This window comes from Homo sapiens, chromosome 7, assembly GCF_000001405.40.
Source record: "Homo sapiens chromosome 7, GRCh38.p14 Primary Assembly".
In the NCBI taxonomy this organism is placed as follows: domain Eukaryota; kingdom Metazoa; phylum Chordata; class Mammalia; order Primates; family Hominidae; genus Homo; species Homo sapiens.
The window spans coordinates 142,144,427-142,165,848 of NC_000007.14; the positions used below are offsets into that span (position 1 = coordinate 142,144,427).

The 21,422-nt window shown below is 40.9% G+C and overlaps 1 protein-coding gene across 5 annotated transcripts in view; it reads left to right on the forward strand.

The window, feature by feature from the left end:
* The window catches only part of MGAM2 (maltase-glucoamylase 2 (putative)), a 110,607-nt gene that overhangs the window by 32,709 nt on the left and 56,476 nt on the right, over window positions 1-21,422 (forward strand). For 4 of the 5 annotated variants that reach the window (XR_927547.3, NM_001293626.2, XM_024446997.2 and 1 more), the window contains 11 exons: window positions 435-519; window positions 3,030-3,147; window positions 9,592-9,763; window positions 10,303-10,419; window positions 13,511-13,665; window positions 13,822-13,906; window positions 14,861-14,917; window positions 15,708-15,832; window positions 16,699-16,787; window positions 17,529-17,578; window positions 20,430-20,597. Coding sequence is in view for 4 of the 5 variants with exons in the window: in NM_001293626.2 (NP_001280555.1) it covers window positions 435-519; window positions 3,030-3,147; window positions 9,592-9,763; window positions 10,303-10,419; window positions 13,511-13,665; window positions 13,822-13,906; window positions 14,861-14,917; window positions 15,708-15,832; window positions 16,699-16,787; window positions 17,529-17,578; window positions 20,430-20,597 (1,221 nt within the window). In the remaining variant the exon portion in view is untranslated. Of the gene's footprint in view, window positions 1-434; window positions 520-3,029; window positions 3,148-9,591; window positions 9,764-10,302; window positions 10,420-13,510; window positions 13,666-13,821; window positions 13,907-14,860; window positions 14,918-15,707; window positions 15,833-16,698; window positions 16,788-17,528; window positions 17,579-20,429; window positions 20,598-21,422 lie in introns of those variants that run through there. The other variant, XM_011516693.3, reaches the window with a different exon arrangement.

Here is a 21,422-nt window from a genome sequence, read left to right on the forward strand (position 1 = left end):
TAGATTTGATCTTAATTATATTCTCTTACTGTTCCTCACTCAGAGGAATAAAGGATAGGGACAGTTAACAATAGAAATGTTAGTTTATCTTAGGTTCTTAACAATAACAATAAATATTTACAATTTGTAAGGCAAGGATCAACCTTTGAAATGGTATTTCTGAATTAGCTGATTGAAATCAATTTATAAAAAGTAAAAATGTGCCCACTGTCATTTAGAAGTGGAACATACCTTAAAAATATATAACCTAATCCAATGACTCAATTTTATAAAAGATGAAACAGAGGGTAAGAAAAATTAGGGAGATTATTTAAAATCCAAAAAGCAGTTGATAAGGGACCCAGATATCCTGGCTCCTAGTTCAGTAAGCGTTTCTCAACAGCTAAATGTAGCTCAATCGCATTTTACACTTTGTGTGTTTTGTGTCTTTGAAGGAAATGAATGAAGTATCTAGCTTACTCCAAGCTTCTAATAACCAGTGTGAATCCAACAACTTGAACTTTCCTCCTTTTCTTCCTAGTAAGTTTTCACCTGTTTGCTATGACGTAGGAATAAGCCATGTTTAAAACACCCTCAGTAATACTCAGTGTGGTCGGGAGCAATTTCACTTCCTAGTCCAAGGGGTCTCCTAAACATCCTGAGCACTCCTCTGCCGAAGTCTCTGCAGCAGTGTTGGGTCTCTGATTACCCTTTTGCTGTCATAACTCCAGGGCAAGCATGTGACAAAGTCTGAGCCTGCCTACCTCCCCTGGCTGCCCTTCCAGTCTAGAATTCAAAATGCTTTCATCCTGTTCATTTCCCCCAAATCCCTCAGGTGTCAATTTTAAAATCTATGAGAATTTCAGGACACTTCAGGATACAGACTACCTTAAACTGAAGTAAACCTGTAATCTTCTTAACTGTTTTCTTTATTCTTTACTTCCTTCTTTCCTCCTTACCCTCCCTTCCTTCCTTCTTCCCTTTTTCCTTTTTCTTTTTTCCCTCCCTTCCTCCCTCTCTCTCTGATCATTTACAACAGTTTAAAGCATCAGTGGTGCCTTCAAGGTCCCATTTATAGGTCCCATTTCTAGTCAAGGTCAATTTTCCAGTTTCTGATTTTGAAAGAATATGTGTGGAGGTGGCGGGTGGCAGTGGCAGTATAGAATACACTATGCTCTGGCAACATATAAACCCCAATATCTCAGTGGATTAACACAATAATCGTTTACTTTTTGCTCACATCATACTCTGATGAGGGATGGGTGACTTGAATCCAAGTGGTGACTCGGATCTATGTCTGGTTCTCCCATCTCCTCAGAGACCTTTGTTTCTGGCTTCCTGGGTGAGGGAGAGAGAGGGTGGAGAAGATTTTATGCGCAGGCCTAGAAGGAAGGTGTACCCAATTGGCCCACATTTCTTTGCTAGAATCTGGTCATGTAGCCTCAGCTTAACCTCAAGGGAAGGTATAATCTTCTTATATTTCCAGAAAGAGAACACTGACATGTTGGGCACCCGAACAGTCAGTGTATTCTGATTTGCCCACTTTACTTATACCCCTGAGACCAAGGTACAGCTGTTTCTTTAACTCCTTTTGGTCACTTAAGGAGTAAATAATTTTTTGGAGGAAGTCTTTACCTCTTGCAACATCTACTGTTTGCTTTTTCGACTTACTCTTTGTTCTTCTCTGCTCTGTCTGGATTCCCCCATTTTTTTTCCACTCTGGATTAGTTTATCATGTTTTTTTTTTTTTTTTTTCTTAATTTCTCAATCCTCTTTTTGGCCAAAACTAAATTTTGTTTTTGATTTTTTTTTTTCCCTATGGAAAACCTCAATCCTATCACTTTCTGCTTGCTTGTGGTGGACACGGCCACTTTTGCTCATAGCCAGGCAGCCCCTCCCCTTTCCAGGATTGCATAGTGCACATTAATTAGCATGAGAAAGAGCACTGAAGTGGTTGTGAATCTCATGCCACACACCAAGCTGTGCAAGAAATAGAATTTTCTTCCCATCTTACATTTCAACTTAATTTCCAGCTCCAAACCTTGATTCTGTTATACTGCGTAGGAAAAACTCAACCTCAGTCTTTCCTGGTCCCACCACTTTCTGGAATTGTGCCTCACACTCAGGTCCTAGGTATGGGCAAGACTTTGTGAAGGAAGGTAGATACGGCCCCAGTGAAGAGTTCACAAGGAGAGGAAGTGGCAGAGAAGACTGGCCATTTCAGGCTTGAGGAAGGGAAAATGCAAACAATAATTCTCAGAGGTAGGATTTGAGTACTTACACATCAAACTGTCAAACTACCCAAATGTCCAAATGTCACATCTTATTTTTTTTTTTTTTGAGATGTAGTCTCGCTCTGTCACCCAGTCTGGAGTGCAGTGGCACGATCTCGGCTCATTGCCACCTCCGCCTCCCGGGCTCAAGTGATTCTCCTGCCTCAGCCTCCCAAGTAGCTGGGACTGTAGGCGCACACCACCATGCCTGGCTAATTTTTGTAATTTTAGTAAAGACGGGGTTTCACCATATTGGTCAGGCTTGTCTTGAGCTCTTGACCTCAGGTGATCCACCTGCCTCGGCCTCCCAAAGTGCTGGGATTACAGGTATGAGCCACTGTGCCCAGCCTCTATTTTTCTTTTAAGTGTGACTGTATTATAAAAAAGAAAAAGTTCCCTTTCTCTGCCTTCATACCTATACATTGTACACTCAATTTCTCTTGATTAAATTTATGTAGATAAACACTATATGCTTTATACTTAGGCTCAGATCCACTGCGTTTGCTCTGAGCATGTTTCTCAGTTGCCTCCCCTCACCAGGATTCTTTGTGAGCTCAAGGGAATGCAGATTAATTTTAATAATCCATCTCCTTGGAGGTCTCAATGTTAGCCCCAGGCAGGAAATAGCATTTAGGATAGAATTTAAAATCTGGAATGGATTTGGTCAGGTGGAGATTGGTGGGGAAGGTACAGTAATCAGGAAGAAAATAGTTGGGCCGCTAATTTGTTAAAGATGGTTAATGAGGAAGTGCCTCACTAATGAGTATTTCCCTCCAGGAGTTCTGGATCACTTACTTTTTGCAAGAACTCTCTGCATGGACACGGAGTTTCATGGGGGCCTTCATTATGACATCCACAGCTTGTATGGCCACTCCATGGCAAGAACCACAAACTTGTAAGGACTTGGTTTTCACCCTAATTCCAGATATGTGGAGGTGGGAGGTGGAGGTGGAGGTTTTTCTTCTGTTCTATATGTAATATATTGTTCAAATATTTTTTGCATTTATAGAAATAGAAAAACTGTTCTTACAGAGTATTTAAGAGTTCCTCTCATATACACCCTGGTTTCTGTACAGGATTATCTTTGATTAGCTTATGGCTAAGGAGCTTATTTCAAGGATACTAGCAGGCAATACTATGTAAGGCATTTAGAGTCCTCAGCTAGAAGTCAGCTCTTGCTTGGATCCTTTTACTGAATGCACTAGGATTGCTTGATTTTAGCAAATAAAAATACAGGACACCAAATTAAATTTGTGTGGGACATTCTCATACTAAAAATTACTTGTTGTTTATTTGGAATTTGAATTTACCTGTATTTCCTTTATTTATCTGGAAATGCTACACCATATCCTTCTATTTCCTTCCCAATGTCCTGCTTGTCTACCTCATAATTCTCCCTTCTGCCCTAAGACACACACACATGCACACACACGTGCACACACAACTATCACCATCACCACCACCATTACCTAACACCATCACCATTGTCATAACCACACCATTACTACCACCATTATTGCCATCACCACCACCATCACTACCACTACTATCACCATCACCACCACCACAGTTATCACCACCATCCCCCCCACCACCACAATCACTATCACCATCACCACCACCCACCATGACCACCATTCACCATCACCATCATAACCGCTACCACTACCATCACCACCACCACTACCATGACCACCACCACCATCCCTACCACCACCATCACCATCATCACTATCCCCATCACCACCATGACTATCACCATCACCTTTACTGCTGTTGCCACCACCACCCATTATGAAAGTCTACCAAGGAGACAAATGTGTTCTGCAAATCATAACATCCTTTATATCTTGTCATGTAGATTGTTTACTTGTGACTTAGTAAATTGAGAAATAACTCCTCTTCTCACTGTGTAGTTTCTTCTGTGGAAGATGGTACAATACAATCATTATACCTAAGAGAGCAAGAAAATTTGGGGCCAGGCTTAAGATTTTAATTTGAATTTGCAGCACAGATGCGGAAACTAAAGAGCTGCTGTGGATCCTCCAGTGGCTTAGGAAAGAGCATCTTTGTCTTTCTCGGCTTCTTTCCCCCTGTTTTGGTGTTTCTAGAGCACTGTTGTGCTCTACAAGACAGGGAGACTTTGATGGGTTTATGGGGCCTGTCTCAGTCCTTTTCTTACTTGACTTCTCTTTCTCCTTGGTACTCAAGGCCATAACCACTCCTTTAAACTTAGCTCCTTCAGTCCTTAAGATACTGCTCTGCTGGCTTGGTGCGGTGGCTTACGTCTGTAATCCAAGCACTTTGGGAGGCTGAGGTGGGCAGATCACCTGAGTTCAGGAGTTTGAGACCAGCCTGGCCATCATAGTGAAACCTCGTCTTTACTAAAAATAGAAAAATTAGTCGGGTGTGGTGGCAGGCGCACCTGTAATCCCAGCTATTTTGGAGGCTGAGGCAGGAGGATCGCTTGAACCCGGGAGACGGAGGTTGCAGTGAGCCGAGATCACGCTATTGCACTCCAGCCTGGGCAACAAGAGTGAAACTCCGTCTCAAAAAAAAAATAAAAAAAGATACTTCTCTGCCTGGTGCCTCTGCTCTCTTTCCAGCTGTTCCCTCTCATCTGTGTGCCTGGATCTTTTCCATCAGCTCTTTCACTATTGATGATTCTTAGGAATCCATCCTCTGGCCTCTTCTCTTTACAGTCTATGCCAACACATAGGTAATTTATAAGTAATTTATTTCTTTTCATGGTTTTCACTGTAATTAATTCTAATGATTTTAAAATCTATAATTATACCTGAGATGTTTACCTAATTTTTAGACACAAATATCCAAAACAATCTTCTGACGTTGTCTACTTGGATGTTTTGTTTTTTTTTTGAGACGGAGTCTCGCTCTGTCGCCCAGGCTGGAGTGCAGTGGTGCGATCTCGGCTCACTGCAAGCTCCGCCTCCTGGGTTCACGCCATTCTCCTGCCTCAGCCTCCCAAGTAGCTGGGACTACAGGCAGCTGCCACCACGCCCGGCTAATTGTTTGTATTTTTTAGTAGAGACGGGGTTTCACAGCGTTAGCCAGGATGGTCTCCATCTCCTGACCTCATGATTCACCCGCCTTGGCCTCCCAAAGTGCTGGGATTACAGGCGTGAGCCACCGCGCCCGGCCTTACTTGGATGTTTTGTAGTACCTCAAATAGCATTCACCTTGCTCTGTTACCTGTTTTCACCTAATCTTCCCACTGTAGCTGATCATTTTTGAAGCTGTTAAATTCTTTTTTTTTTTTGAGACAGAGTTTCGCTCTTGTTGCCCAGGCTGGAGTGCAATGGCGCGATCTCAGCACAATGAAACCTCCGCCTCCCGGGTTCAAGCGATTTTCCTGCCTCAGGCTCCTGAGTAGCTAGGATTACAGGCATGCGCCACCACGCCCAGCTAATTTTGTATTTTTAGTAGAGACGGGGTTTCTCCATGTTGGTCAGGCTAGTCTCAAACTCCCGACCTCTGGTGATCCGCCCACCTCGGCTTCCCAAAGTGCTGGAATTGCAGGCATGAGCCACCACGCCTGGCTGAAACTCTTAAATTCTGTATCTTGGTTGGTAGCAACAGCATCCCTATATCCCAGACTCTCAAGTGAGAAGCATGAAGCCATCTTTTATGCCTTTTGTGCCCTCACATACGATCAGTCCTTGATCCTTTTGATGTTACTTTTGAAACATTTCTGTAACCACCTCCATTTTCCCCCCTTAATACTTCTTAATTAGGTTATCATCATCCCTCACACAAATCATTACACTAGGCCCAGAACTAATCTCCCTGACTTTACCCTTATCTCCCAGTAACCTACCCTCTACCCTTTCTACTTGAAGCATAGTCCAAGGAACAGCTGCATCAGCATCACCAGAAAACATTAGCATCTTGGACCTCAACCCTGAACTTAGTAATCAAAACCTGCATTTTATCAAGATCCCTGGGTGTATTGAACGTATGTTAAAATCTAGAAAGCACTGCTGTACATTCCTGAGAAAGTGACCTTTCTAAAGCACTGTTTGCTCATTTCTCTCCCCAGTGTAAAATTATTTGTGCCTTGCTATTTTTTATACAGTGAAATTCTTAGCATAACCTATAAGGTACTTTATAATCGAACCCTTTCTTACAATTTTTCTCTCACCTTTGCATCTTCTTGTTCCCAAATCCAAGTGCTATTCATTCTTCCATGCCTTTCATGTGCTATTTGCCGTGCACAAGATGGCCTTCCTTACCCTGTCCATTTTGCAAAATATGCTTATCTATAAAACCTCATCTCCAATCTCAATGCTGGGAACTTTCCTGACAGTTCTAGGAAAAGATTATTTCCCATTTTCTGTGCCACATTTGTTCATATTCCAATATGCTTAGTATGCAAAAAACATGGTATCAAATTTTAGATGCTAATTTTCTCTCTGCTGGACTGTAAGCTTTTTGAGGGCAAAGTCAGCCCATATCCTTAGCCTTATCAATAGAGTGTGTACTGAAGACACTTTGTTGGATAAATGCCTGGCCTGAGAGAGAGAGGAAGGGCAGGACCCAGCACCTAGGGGACCTGATGACTTCGAGGCAGAGACTGGGTCGGTGTTATTTTCCAGCACTATTTTGTCCTCATGACTTTGCATTACATTAGATTATCCAGATGAGAGTTCTTGTCCAGAAAATGTAAAAGTTTGTATTTTGGTTAAAAAAAGAAAACCTCTAGGAAGAATGACATATATTTCTGATTCATTATCTTCTCTTTGTCTTTTCTCTCTCATTCTATTTTTCCTGAGAAATAAACTGGATAAATAAGACTCAATTTCCTCATCTCTGAAATGAGACTCGGATTGGTATTCCCATAATCTCCTGTTCTGATATAGTTTTATTCTTAGATGCTTCTATCTAAGAATGAGAAATGGGAAACAGAGTGAGTAGTCAGGGTAAGAAAGAGTAAGAAAGGGTTGGAGGAGGGGAAGAAAGTTTCAAATTACTTTTTTGCCCGTGACTCCATGTGGTAAAAGTGCTATAAATCAAGAATGGGTTGGTTAATATATTCTAATAGTTATGGTTAATAGTTAAAAGGTAATTGTGATTGAGCAAATAGTAGGTGTCTTTCTAATTTCTCTGGCCAGGCATAATGGCCTACGCTCCCAGAGGACAGTGGAGATAAGTGGAACTTGGTCTTTGGGCATGAGGCAGAGTGGATCAAAAAATGGATAACATTTTCATTCAATGGGATCTGGACATCAGAAGAACTAAAGTAATTGGTCTGATAAATATTTGGCTCAACCTTAAATGGAAGTATAGTCTGGGGACAGTGGGCCAACCAGGAATAAAATTATCCCCACCTCTAGGCTGAAAGCCGAAGGAGACTAGAGTCTTTCAGTGATCACAACCTGATTATAAATTGGCCAGACCTGGGGGATAGAAAAGAGAAAACTAAAAGACAGAAAATACAAAGCCTCTGAGTAAGACTGTTCCTTTAAGATGTTTAAAAAAAAAAAAAAACCCAGCAGTTATCTAATCTGTTTTACCACAGTACCAGCCTGCCTCTAAATAAACTGGAACCACAGATATCTTCAACCCTGTTTTGGTTTCACTCTGTGTAAGCTGAATGTGTTTCTTTCATGATTGATTACTGCAGAGTATAATAAACCTGCAGCCAGTGGTAATAAAAGCAAAGTGTCGGCCAGTCTACATTAAAGTAGAAGTGGGGATAGGAGTTGAGTGAGTCCTCTCCTCCAACCTACCCCTATTTTTGACAGTAAATTGTCAGAATGAAGCCCTTTACTTTCTTAAAGCAGTTTTCCGTTTCAAAATTTTCTCCCTTTTGCCATTATAAGCCATTCAGTATTTATAGACTCTCCAAACTTCCCAGGAAAATGAAGTGAGGAGGCCTTGGTGACTGTGATAGTGTATTGAGGAATTGCCTGGTGCCTGGTGATAAAGACTTGCAGAGAGAGGTTTTAGGAAAAGATACACTTGTCTCAGACCATGTATTAGAAAGCGGGAAAGAAGAGCTTGCCTGCGAAGAGCTGGCAGAAACTGTGGCGTGGCTCAGGTCTTACTGTCCTTTAATTGTATTATTGTTCAATTTTATAATTCTAATGGAAGATGTGGGCTTTTTACCACAGGGGGGAAAAAAGAAAAGAGGAGAGTCATTTCAATAAAATGCCTATTCAAAAGGTGTCCAGAATAAAAGCTAGGCAAACAGCCCACATCCAACCATAGGTCACCCCACTGTATGTTCATCTGTGCCCCTGAAGTAATTACCATTCTGAATTCTGTGCTTTTAATTTCTTTGCTTTTATTCCTTTTTTTTTTTTTTTTTGTCTGAGACAGAGCCTTGCTCTGTCGCCCAGGCTGGAGTGCAGTGGCACGATCTTGGCTCACTGCAACCTCTGCCTCTTGGGTTCAAACGATTCTGCTGCCTCAGTCTTCTGAGTATGAGTAGCTGGAGCTACAGGCGCACACCACCATGTCCAGCTAACTTCTGTATTTTTAGTAGAGATGGGGTTTCACCATGTTGGCCAGGTTGGTCTCGATCTCCTGACCTCGTGATCCACCCGCCTCAGCCTCCCAAAGTGCTGGGATTATAGGCGTGAGCCACCGCGCCCGGCCTGCTTTCATTTCTATATTGTTTTACGTAACATGTAATATTTTATTTATAATACAATGAAAATAATATTTTCTATGTTAGTTGTTTTTAACTTTATAGAAAGTATCAGATGCGATCTTTTGAGACTTACTCATTTCAATGACTCTTATTTTGCATAGATTAAAATTTGCTAACATTGAGAATTGCTAAGAATAAGTCTGAAGTTTCAGAGGAAGCCAGGGATAAGTTCTGAAGTTTCAGAGGTGTACCAGCTGGTGCATGAACTCTCCTCTTAGTCCAGCAGAGGGTGCAGAGCTCCCATCGGAGCAGGTGCTGTGCTGTACAGGATTATGCATGGCAGAAATTCATGGAACCAAAGGACATTAGAAAAAAGATGGGACAAGGAACTCAAATCATGGTTCCAATATACTGTTGACCAAAAGGACCAGACCACAACCAGATCCAACTAGACAGAGAAAACAAAATCGGGGAACGGAAGCCTAGAGAAATTGCTATGGGGGCTAGAATATAGAGGTTTGTACTGTCTTATATGAGATCTGAAATCTTACCCCAAAATGGGAAAGAAGCTCTTAGATAGTACTAAGTTTATGACACCTGGTTTATGACACCCTCATGTTGTTTTCTCAGTTTGGTTAGAAAGTCCATTGCTGCTCTTATTGTAAGGTGAGTCCTAGACATTCACAGCCCACCTCACACTCCACTGGATGTATTCCTTTCCAGAGCCCTGGAGACCATCTTCATGAATAATAGGAGCTTCATCTTATCCCGTTCTACTTTTGCTGGATCTGGCAAATTTGCTGCTCATTGGCTGGGGGACAATGCGGCCACATGGGATGACCTCCGATGGTCTATCCCCACTATCCTTGAGTTCAACCTGTTTGGCATCCCCATGGTGAGCCTTATTTCCAACCAGGGAACTTTAACCCTTTGTCTGTTGACATTCTTTTAATTAGCAGTCTTAGAGATTATCTGAAAAACCAAGGATCATGTTCCAAGGTGATATGTATTGGAAAGATCAATTTTTATGTGTTACGTGAGCTGCCTTCTGAAGATAGAATGGTAGTACTTTATCACTGAGTTGTCATCCATGGAATCTCTGAAGATAGGAAGGAGACAGCATGAATAAAATGTATTAGTATCACAGGAAAATTCCATCAAGAGAGCATTAGTAAATAAGAAAGTATGAAATTGGGAACTGAATATTAAGGAACAGCCTCAACACAAGGACCATTGTTTGCACTATCAGTAAGTCCGTGATGGATTCTATCTTGTTTCTCTCCTTTGGCTGGGAGTGTGCCCTGTGACTCTGGGATCTCCTTAAGCATGGGATGATGTGACAAAGAGGTTCTCTTTTCCCTTATCATATAAATCTTCACTACATGCTTTCGCCTCTCATTGACCACAGTGCTTGTATGTGTGCTAATTCTCCAGGTAGGTGCCAACATCTGTGGTTATAACAACAATGTCACAGAGGAGCTCTGCAGAAGGTGGATGCAGCTTGGAGCATTTTATCCACTACCAAGGAATCACAATGGGCCTGGGTTCAGGGTAAGGTCACCAAAAGAAGTGATGGAAACTTTTTGGATTAGCTAATCTACTGGCTCTTAAAGGGGATTTGAGGAAAATAGTACTACAGGTTGGCACTAACTGCAGCAGAAGGATAAAAAAGTCTTGTATCATAGCCTTAAAAAGCAGGGTATCAATCAAGGTGAGGGTGCATTGGAAGGGATATGTATATACTGAAAGATTTTATTCTTGGAAACTCACCAACAAAGTGAGAAGATTTGTTAAAGTTTCTATGGTGCTGCCATGACTTCTGTTCTATCCTATATAGGATAGGACAATTGGAATTTGTTGGTATTTTATTTCAGTTAATACAAGGGAAATCCCTCATAGGTATGGAGGAACAAGGAGAAAGAATTTAAAGAGGCTTAGGCCAGTGATCTCAACATTTCTTTCCCCTTGTTACAACATTCTACCTTTCTATGAAGAGTTTGGAGGACTTGCCAACTACTTCTCATGACTCATTCCACCTTTAGGCTCGTCTACCCAAAATAGTATTTTCGATGGGCAAGTACATGGAAGTGGGTTCAAAGTCCCCCCTAAGGAGGTGTTTATGATGGTAGCAGAAGCAAGTAGGGTGAGATGTCCTTTCTTTTAATAAAGTAATCTTAAGTTGAAATATTTCCAATTGAGTGGTTTAGCTCTTAATAGGTTCATTAGAATAACTTCCTAATGATAATTTTAGCTCCAATTCTTGACTTTGTCTTTAACCCAGGAAGGATTAACAGTCAAACCTTCAAAGTATTTTATCCCTGGGCTTTTCTGGCCACTTGTGATCTAGAGAGAGATGAACTATTTCTAAATGTCTTAAGCAGGTGGCTGGGAGCAGGTGGGTGGGTGCTCTTCATGAAGCTGTGTCCTGGAAGACTTACATAGGTAAGAACACTCAGATAACCCAGGAAGCTAGGTTTAAGCACGTATGTCCTTTTGATTAAACTAGCTCTATTCAATAAAATTATAAGGAGAGCCACATATGTCAGTTTAAATTTGAAAAGTACAAAAAGGCTGGGCACGGTGGCTCACACCTGTAATCCCAGCACTTTGGGAGGCCAAGGTGGGAGGATCACCTGAGGTCCGGAGTTTGAGACCAGCCTGACCAACATGGAGAAACTCTATCTCTACTAAAAATACAAAATTAGCTGGGTGTGGTGGCGCATGCCTGTAATCCCAGCTACTTGGGAGGCTGAGGCAGGAGAATCTCTTGAACCGGGGAGGCAGAGGTTGTGGTGTGCTGGGATCGCGCCATTGCACTTCAGCCTGGGCAACGAGAGCAAAATTCCGTCTCAAAACAAAACAAAAAAAAAAACAAAGTACAAAGAAACAGGGACATTGTTTTAAAAATACTTTATATAGCTCAATGTGTATCTATATGTGTGTGTGTGTCTGTATATTACATAGCATTATCATTTCAACCTGTGTTTAATACAAAATATTATTAATGAGCTATTTTATATCCTTTTCATTCTACTAGGTCTTCAAAATTTGGTATGCATTTTACACTTGTAGCATATCGCAATTTGTATGCTAAGATTTTTTGTATGCAGTTGAAGTAAAATGCAATTCTACCAAAGCAATAAAGTTGGTTTAATGGAAAAAAAATTTACGTTGATTCAGTTTTAAGATTTATATTTAAAGTAACTATCATCAAATAAAATGGAAAGTTTACTTCCTCAGTCTCAATAAACATAGTTCAAGTGTTCAATAGCTTCATGTGGTTCATGGCCACCATAGTGGACAGCACAGCTCTGGGCTTTTGTCAGTTGACAACCAGGGTGATGGAGGCTGTGGAGTGTTACTCTCTTTAATGTTTGGCCTCAGAGTTTTCATGAGCCCTACACTGGGTGCATAGAGTGGTCTCATGGAGTCATTCTATTTAGAGGGGGAGAAATGGGCCTCTTAGGGAGCAAAAGAAAAAAAAGTTCAGGTAACTTTATCCAAAACTCAGTCTCAGTAACGCAGTATAGGATGACAAGTCAAAAGATGACGTGTATGTCTTTCACATCTTCCAAATTATATGGAAAATGAACAAAATGAATGCCGACCATTGACGGAAAATTTTCATCTCTGGGTCCATGGAAAATTAGATTTTTCTTCTAATGGGTTATTTTTTTACTCTTGGATAAAATCTGCTAAAAACCATCGTCATAATTTATTTGCACAATGTATGTCAAAGAACAAATAGAGGTCACTAATCTTTGGGATAGGGAAAATAAAACAAATGTTGATGGTGGAAACATTACAGATAAAACTGGACAAAAAATGTTAAAATTAAAATTCATACAAGCACATGGAAAGGAAATGATGGATTACAGACCATGGTGGCAGGCAATGTGGCTTATAAGGCAATGGATTTTTTTTTAGTAGTAGTACAACTTATATTATTTCCCAAATAAAATATGAGAAACCTCAATATGTAAAATAAATTGGAGCAACCCTGGAGGGAGCAAGTCCCACTTTATCTCCATGGCAACCCCTGTGGGACTTCCATTTCACTCTGGGGCTGCTACAAACTGCCTCAGAAGACAGACACCAATTTTTTTTTTTTTTTTTGAGACAGAGTCTCATTCTGTTGCCAGTTTGGAGTGCAGTGGCACGATCTCAGCTCACTGCAACCTCCAACTCCCTGGTTCAAGCAATTCTCCTGCCTCAGCCTCCCGAGTAGCTGGAATTACAGGCACGTGCCACCACACCCAGCTAATTTTTGTATTTTTAGTAGAGACAGGATTTCACCATGTTGGCCAGGATGGTCTCCATCTCCTGACCTCGTGATCTGCCTGGCTCGGCCTCCCAAAGTGCTAGGATTACAGGTGTGAGCCATTGCGCCTGGCCGATAGACACCAAATTTAAACTCTGCCACTTGTTTGCAATTCTACATTGGGAAAGTCATATAATCCTTGATATTGTTTTCTCATGTATAAAATGAAGGAGTAGGATTAGTATCTTTTCAGTTCTAGAAATGCTTTGATATTCTCCAAGTTGGAGGAAGTGGCTAGTTTCATCTGGGAAACTTATTGTAAGAGAACTTCTGAACTATGATGGAAAGAAATATTCAGCCATTCCTTCCATTTTCTCCTAGGACCAGGATCCCGCTGCCTTTGGTGTTGATTCCCTGCTGCTGAAATCCTCCAGACATTATCTGAACATCCGCTACACCTTGCTGCCCTATCTCTATACCCTTTTCTACCATGCTCACACCCGGGGAGAGACGGTAGCAAGGCCCCTTGTACATGAGTGAGTTTCCTGATTCTCAAAGACTCCCTTTCTGATTGTAGTTTCACTTGACTTTGTTTGTGGTAGCAAGGTTAGTTAGGATCTTGTTGTTACATAATGTGCCATTGTCCTGTATTAGAGACTTCACCTGCCTTCACTGTGCTACCTCTTTACTAGGTTCTACCAGGACTCAGCCACGTGGGATGTGCATGAGCAGTTCTTATGGGGACCTGGACTCCTCATCACGCCTGTTTTATATGAAGTATGTTTATCATCTAAACAATGAAAGGGGGTATTGCACTTGTCCTCATGGTTCTATAGCTGGATAAGTTGGTTCCTATCTATGACTGCATTTATATCAAAATATGAATATAAATGAGAGAGCTCATGAAAGTTTAGAAATTTTTTAAAAAGTAGTAAATCTTGGTCCCATTGCCCCACCAAACAAAACAATTTTCATGTTGTAAAATTGCCTTAAAATTAAAGCCTAAGTCCTTAGGCATATGGCTGCAGCATTGACAATGGCTTTAAATACTTTGGGGTGTATGTGCTGAACATCTGTCTATAGTTTCCTTTGTCCAGAGCGGGTGTGCTCTTGGATTGGGTTAGGCTGGGCTGCGAAGAGAGAATACCTGTGGAGAAGAAAAGGGAGGGAGAGAGGAGTGCTGGGCAAAGGGAAGGCGATGCTCTGAAGTCCAACTATGAAGGACCATGTGTATCCTATTAAGTGTGATTGGGAGCAGGGGTAAGTGGCAAAGTGTGGGACAAGGATCAGGAAGGATTATGCTGATCTGCTTGTAAACATGAAATATTGCCAGTGTAGCCATGTCAAAGGCCCTTTGAGCTGTTGTTATAGCCACACTATCTGATGACAGGTCCTGCTAACCAACCAGTGGCCCTGCTGGGAGGCTTTCCTGGGGCCTGGCTGGCTCACTGTCCTCCCAACTGTCAAATTATGTGACTAACTCAGTGAATGGACTTTCTCTGCTTCTCTTAGAAAGTGCAGCAGCATTGAGCAAAACAAATCATTTTTAGCTACATTCTGCTTTGGGTAAATTGCTCAACCTTTATGTGTCTGTGTTTTCCTTTGTAGAATGGGATGATCTCAACCATCTCTCAGGATTGTTCAGATAGGCACATGTAATGATGCCTGGAGGTGTTTTGTAAACTGTAGAGAGGGGTATGCTAATGCTACTCATTATTGTTGTTTACCTAGGGTGTGGACGAAGTGAAAGCATACATACCTGATGCCACCTGGTATGACTATGAGACAGTAAGTAAGGCAGCCCTGGTTGGCTCACAGACCTGCCTCTAGCAGAGGGCAATTCTAAAGCAGCAGTCTTGGGAGCTTGCCATAGAATAATAGTACAAGATTTATAGTTAGTTGATTGTGGTCCTTTTTCTGTGAGAAAGGCATCTTAGTTGGTTCAGGATGGTGCAACAAAACACCTTACACTGGGTAATTTATAAACAACACAAATTTATTGCTCACGGTTTTGGAGGCTGGCAAGTCCAAGATCAAGGTGCTGGCAGATTCCGTGTCTGGTGAAGGCCCTCTCTGCTTCACTGATGGCACCTCCTTGCTCCTCCCTCATGACTTAATCACCTCACAAAAGTCTCCCCACCCCTTAATACTATCACTCTGGGTATTAAGTTTCAACATATAAATTTTGAGGGTACACCAGCATTCAGACCATAGCAGAAGGCCTTTCCAAATGTACAATGAAATAATTTGAATAACTGGAGTAGGTTTATGGAAATTCATTATATCAACCTGGCTATTGTGTAGCTATCAAGACTGGGCTTTGTCATTTGGCTGTGGTAGCCTAGCAATTGAAGCCCAGGTGTGGAATGACAGCTTGATGTAATGTAAATAAATAAAGGGGATTGGAGTGTCAGCTCTGCCCTCTACTACCCATATGCTTTCAGCAAGTCACTTCACTTTGGGGTTCTCTGTTTGTCTCTTCTTTAAAATATGTCAACTGAATGAGATGATACCTAAGGCCCCTCCTAGCTGAAACAGCTTATTACCTGATCTATCTTTTGTTGTTGTTGCTGATTAGGGAGTGGCCATCTCATGGAGGAAACAGTTGGTGAATATGCTTCTCCCAGGTGACAAGATAGGACTTCATCTGCGAGGGGGCTACATATTTCCCACTCAGAAGCCAAACACAACCACAGAAGCCAGGTAAGCTCCTTACTCTTCTAAGGTATGACTATTCTGGTGCTCTAATGGAGCAGGGCATTATGAGAAAGACAAATAGGGATTTTTGTGGATGAGCCAAGGGATAAGTCACCCATCAGTAATCTTCCCCCACTCCTTTCAAAATTGATCCAAAATTGGCATCTTAGTCCCTATTTAGTAGATGGTAGTCTGCTAAGGACATCTGCAGAGTGTTTCACTTTGGGATTGAATCAGATTATAGGACTAGTCAAAGTAATCACTGAGGAGGATTTCCCTATGGCCAGAAATTGTCCTTAGGTATATTCCCTACCGTGTGAGAGAATTTGAGTTAAATAGGAGATAAAGGTTATCACGTGGAAGCCAACACCGTTTGGGGGTCAAGAGCTCAGATTCTACAGAACCTGGGTTCAAGCCTTGGTTTGGGCTACATACTAGATGTGTTTACCTTGGGTAACTTACTTCTCTGTGCTTCTGCTTATTATTGGTAAACTGGAGATGATGATAGTTTAACTTTGTAGAGTTATTATGAGGGTTAAATGAATTAATATAAATGATAATGTGTGCGGGACACTTAGAAGAGTGCCTGGCACATGGTAAACACCTAATGAGGCTAATTGTTGGTATTATGTATTGCAACCCAAACAGTTGCCTGTAGGAACTGCCTCTGTCCACCCTTCCCTTTATGTCCACTCACTATCAACCCCTGCTGCCTGCCCACACCCAGCTCCCATGTGTCCACCCAATATCAACATCTACTCAGTTTCTGGTATAGACTCTTGGATTATCTGTCCCTGGGGGATGAAGGTGGCTGGTTTCACATAGTTCCATCTCATCTACATTCTCTGAAACTGGGAAGTACTCTTTTACAGCCGGAGGAATTCCCTGGGACTCATCATCGCCTTGGACTATAAGAGAGAAGCAAAGGGGGAGCTGTACTGGGATGACGGTGTATCTAAAGGTAGACTTTCTCAAGGCACCATCCCTGTGGATCACTGTGGTTCTCCCTGAAAATTAGTCATCATAGGCTGCCCAATATGGCACTAACCCTATTAGCACTGTCGTTTACATCTGTAGCTGAGAATCAACGGGTTAAAATCCATTCTGAAAATTCCATTAGCCAGGCACAATGCATTAAAATAGACTTCAAATGCACAAATTATGTGTTACTGACTCTACCAAAGCAACTGGCATTATTTCATTTAGCTTAATTATTCTCTTCCTTGGATATTAATTATTAATAACAGATAATACACTTTTTAATAGCTTTGGAAAATACTGCTTTGGTTTGTGGAAGAAATATCTAATTTGTATTGTATGTCTTTTCACTGTAAGGTTTCCATGTAAACACCTCACATGAACTTATGTGATTATATAAAAATCCTGTCCTACATGGAATTAGTATGTATTGTGTAGGCCTTGAGGAACTCATGATCCAGCAGGATAGATACAATGCACACATAGATAAATACAATGCAAATCAAAATGTTTTACATGCCAGCGAAATGGTACCACAGACTGACATGTGAATTTAGAGAAAATGGTCCAGGAAATATTTGCAGAAGTTTGAAAAAAATGCACAGAACTCAGATGAGCAGAACTAGATGGTTGGTAAAGGAATTCCAGATGAAATGAAGAGAAGAGCAGGACTCCCTGGCTGATTGGCTTCCCATAGTAACCGGTACTCCTCTTTCTTTTTTAGATGCTGTGACTGAAAAGAAGTATATTCTATATGATTTCTCTGTTACCTCTGTAAGTATTTTGTTTGAGGAACACACAGCATATGTTCCTTGCTGGGAAGGCTCTTTGAGTTTTTAGTTTAATATAGACACATGGTTATGTGCAGCAGAGACAGGGTTTTACTGTCATGATTCCAAAAAGGAATCAAATGAACATGAAAGTGTTTAATGTGTGTCAGGCTTATAAGCTGCTACAAAACCAATATGAGTTCTGTGCAGAACTTTTTTTTTCCTGGAAAAAAAAACATTACCTTTGAGTTTTATGTGATGGGTGCTGGCTTCCAAGATGTGCCTTTTTTGAGGTTTGCAAGTGTATATGAGGTGTGAGTGGGTTAGTGAGTGGTATGGCACATTTTTAAGGTTCTTCCATAATGGCTGTCCTTTGTAGCACGTAAAACTTGGCCTTTGGCACGGGTATAAAGTAGCGGCTTTTAAAGGCTGGAAGATACAGAACATCACTTGCCTCATATCTATTTCCCAAGGGGACTGAGAGAAGAAAAAGCAGCAAGGCCAGCAGAAAATGAGGGAATTCTGACTTGATTTTCTTAGAAGCCTGATCATATATGGGCAGAACTTTCTTTTGAGGCGGTCTCTCTCTCTTTCTTTTTTCTCCTTTCTTTTAAATGTGTATATATGTATCTGTACCTATACATATAAAAATGGATCTACTTTAAGATATAGAATATATATAATTTATATATAAGGTATAAAAAATATATATCTTAAAGTAACTCTTTTATTTTGAGATAATTAAAGATCCCCATGCAATTGTAAGAACTAGCACAGAGTTCCCATATACCCCTTTGCCCAGTTTCTCCTATGGTAACATCTTATAAACCTATAGCACAATTTCACAAGCAGAATGCCGGCATTGATGCTATCGAGATACAGAATATTTCATTAGCACAAAGATCTTTCCTGCTGCCCTTTAATAGCATGTCCACTTGCTTCTTCCCCAATCCCTCCTCAGCCCCTGGCAACCAATCATCTGTTCGCCATTTCTATAATTTTGTCCTTTCAACAGTGTTCTGTAAAGAGAACTAAACTGCTTGCAACCTTTGGGATTGGCTTTTTCATTCAGCATAGTTCCCTCAAAACCCATCCAAGTTGTGTGTGACAACAGCTTGCTCCTTTTCATTGCTGAGTGGTGTTCCAAGTTATGGAACCTTTTAAAAATCACTCACTTGATTAATAGTATCTGGGATGGCTCCAGTCATGAGCTGTTACAAATAAATTAAAATTGCTACTAACACTCATGTATAGGTTTTGGTGTGAACATAAGTTTGTTTTTTTGTTTTGTTTTGCTTTGAGAGGGAGTCTCACTGTGTTGCCCAGGCTGGAGTGCAAGGGCACGATCTCAGCCCACTGCAACCTCCGCCTCCTGCGTTCAAGAGATTCTCTTACCTGAGCCTCCTGAGTAGCTGGGATTACAGGCATGCACCACCATGCCCGGCTAATTTTTGTATTTTTAGTACAGATGAGGTTTCACCGTGTTGGTCAGGCTGGTCTCGAACTCCTGACCTCATGATCCGCCCGCCTCACCTTCCCAAAGTGCTGGGGTTACAGGCGTGAGCCACCGTGCCTGGCCATAAGTTTTTATTTCTCTTTAATAAGTGCCTAAGAGTGCAGTTGCTGGGTCTTATGGTAATGCATGTTTAGTTTTATAATAATCTTCCAAACTGTTTTCCAGAATGGCTGTACCATTTTCACTTCCACCAGCAACATATGAGTGATCTAATTTCTTTGCATCATGGCCAGCATCTGATGTTGTCACTATTTTTTTAGGCTTTTCTGATTGGTGTGTAGTTACAGCTCATTGTGTTTTTAATTTGTATTTCTCTGATGGCTAATGATGTTTAACATCTTTTCATATGTCTATTTACCATCTATATATTTACATTTTTAATTTTGATGAATCTAATTTATCATTATTTTCCTTATAGATTGTGCTTTTTGATGTCAAGCTTAAGATCTCTTCGCCAAGTCCTAGATTCTGAATATTATCTCCCATTTAAAAAAATATAGTCTTACCTTTTACATTTAAGTCGTGATCTATTTTGAGTTAATTTTTATATAATATGTAAGATTTAGGTTGGGGTTCAACCTTTGACCTGTGTATGTCCAGTTGCCCCAGCACCTTTGTTGAAAAAAATCTGTCTTTGTAAAAAATCATTTGGGCATATATGTATGCGACTTCTAATTTTTTAAGTTATCAAACTGCTACTTTTTTCTTCAGTCTTAATTTCTACCTTCTTCTTTGTCATAGCTCAACTGTGTCACCTTTGTTCCCTAAATAAGTTATTTAATTTTCTGTGTTTCAGTCTCCTCATCTGAAAAACGAGGGTAATTATAGCTTCAACCTCATAGCCTGCCGTGAAAACTGAATGAAGTAATACATGTCAAATGCTTAGCACAGTGCCTGTCACATAATACACACTCAGATTATTCTTAGCTCTTATCATCATTATTAGTAAAATAAAAGGAAGAAAATTACTTGGGCCCTTTTGGTGTATATGTGTATGTCTTTATCTTTGTGTGCCAATGAGGCTCTTATCTTTTTGTTTACTGTGTGAGTACCTATCTCGTCTGCTTGAAAATTCTACAGTGTCAGGGACGTATTTTCCGATTAATAGAATCAGTAAAGAACCAGTGAACAAAAGCAAAGATGAAATATTACTTAAAAATTTAAGATTGATAAGAGTCTGAGTGAACGAGTTCCCTAGGGATGATGACCTAGCAACATTTGAAACTGCAGAGAAAAGGAAACAGCTTGGATCACAGAAATTGAGACATTGACTGGTATTTGGGGATAATAAGGGTCTGAAGTACCTGGTTTCCAATCTGACTTTTTTTTCCCCTCCCAGAACCATCTACAAGCAAAGATTATAAATAATAATTATATGGACACTGACAACCTCATGTTCACAGATATCACAATCTTGGGAATGGACAAACAGCCAGCTAATTTTATCGTCCTACTGAATAATGTTGCCACCTCCAGTCCAAGCGTTGTCTACAATGCTTCCACAAAGGTAAGAGATCCTTCCATTCTGCAGGGCCCTTTCCAGAGGCCTTGGCTCTGACAGCCAGCCCTACTTTGCTCTTTTAACTGTGGGCAGTCAGACACAACTGACTTGCTGGGAGGTCCAACACATCACAGAAAGGATGCAGGAGAAACGTGTGCATGCTAAAGAAAGACCTCTCTGCTTTGTTTGTATCAGGGCTCTGAAGAAAATAGCGGGAGTCGGAACCCCGAGAGAAGGAAGTTCTTCTCTGGGCGCAGTTAAAATGAGACACTCTGATCCCAGCTGTGACATAGTGAATAGATTGTGCAATGGGTATTTACACATTGGTCCTCTCATTGAAGGGAGAATCTCTTTGAGAAACAGTTGATATTTGTCCTTACCGTTTTAGGCTATTTTCATACCATTAATAAAATGTGAGTGGAGTAACGCAAGGAGAAATCCAGTTTTGCTCTTACTGAATGATTCCCTTACACTGTTAGTTGAATATTTCAAGTTCTGGGAAATTTGTTATTTCTTAGATCAGCCCCCTTCCATGTTGACAAGACCTATAGCATAGAATAAGAGTTTGATTTCTAGAGTTAGGCAGAATGGGGCTCCAATCTCAGCTCTTAGGGTATTAGGTGTCTCTGTATCTTAGTTTTCTGTTCTGTAAAATGGAGATAGTCAAAACATTCACAGCATGGAACTGCTGTCTAGGATTAATGGAGATCATGCTTATAAAGTGGTTATCACAGTGCTTGGCTTGTATGAATGCTCCATAAACTTTAGCTATTGTTGTTATTACTACTTTTATTAAATTGGTAAGCATCACACCCAGAGGACAGTAAGCCT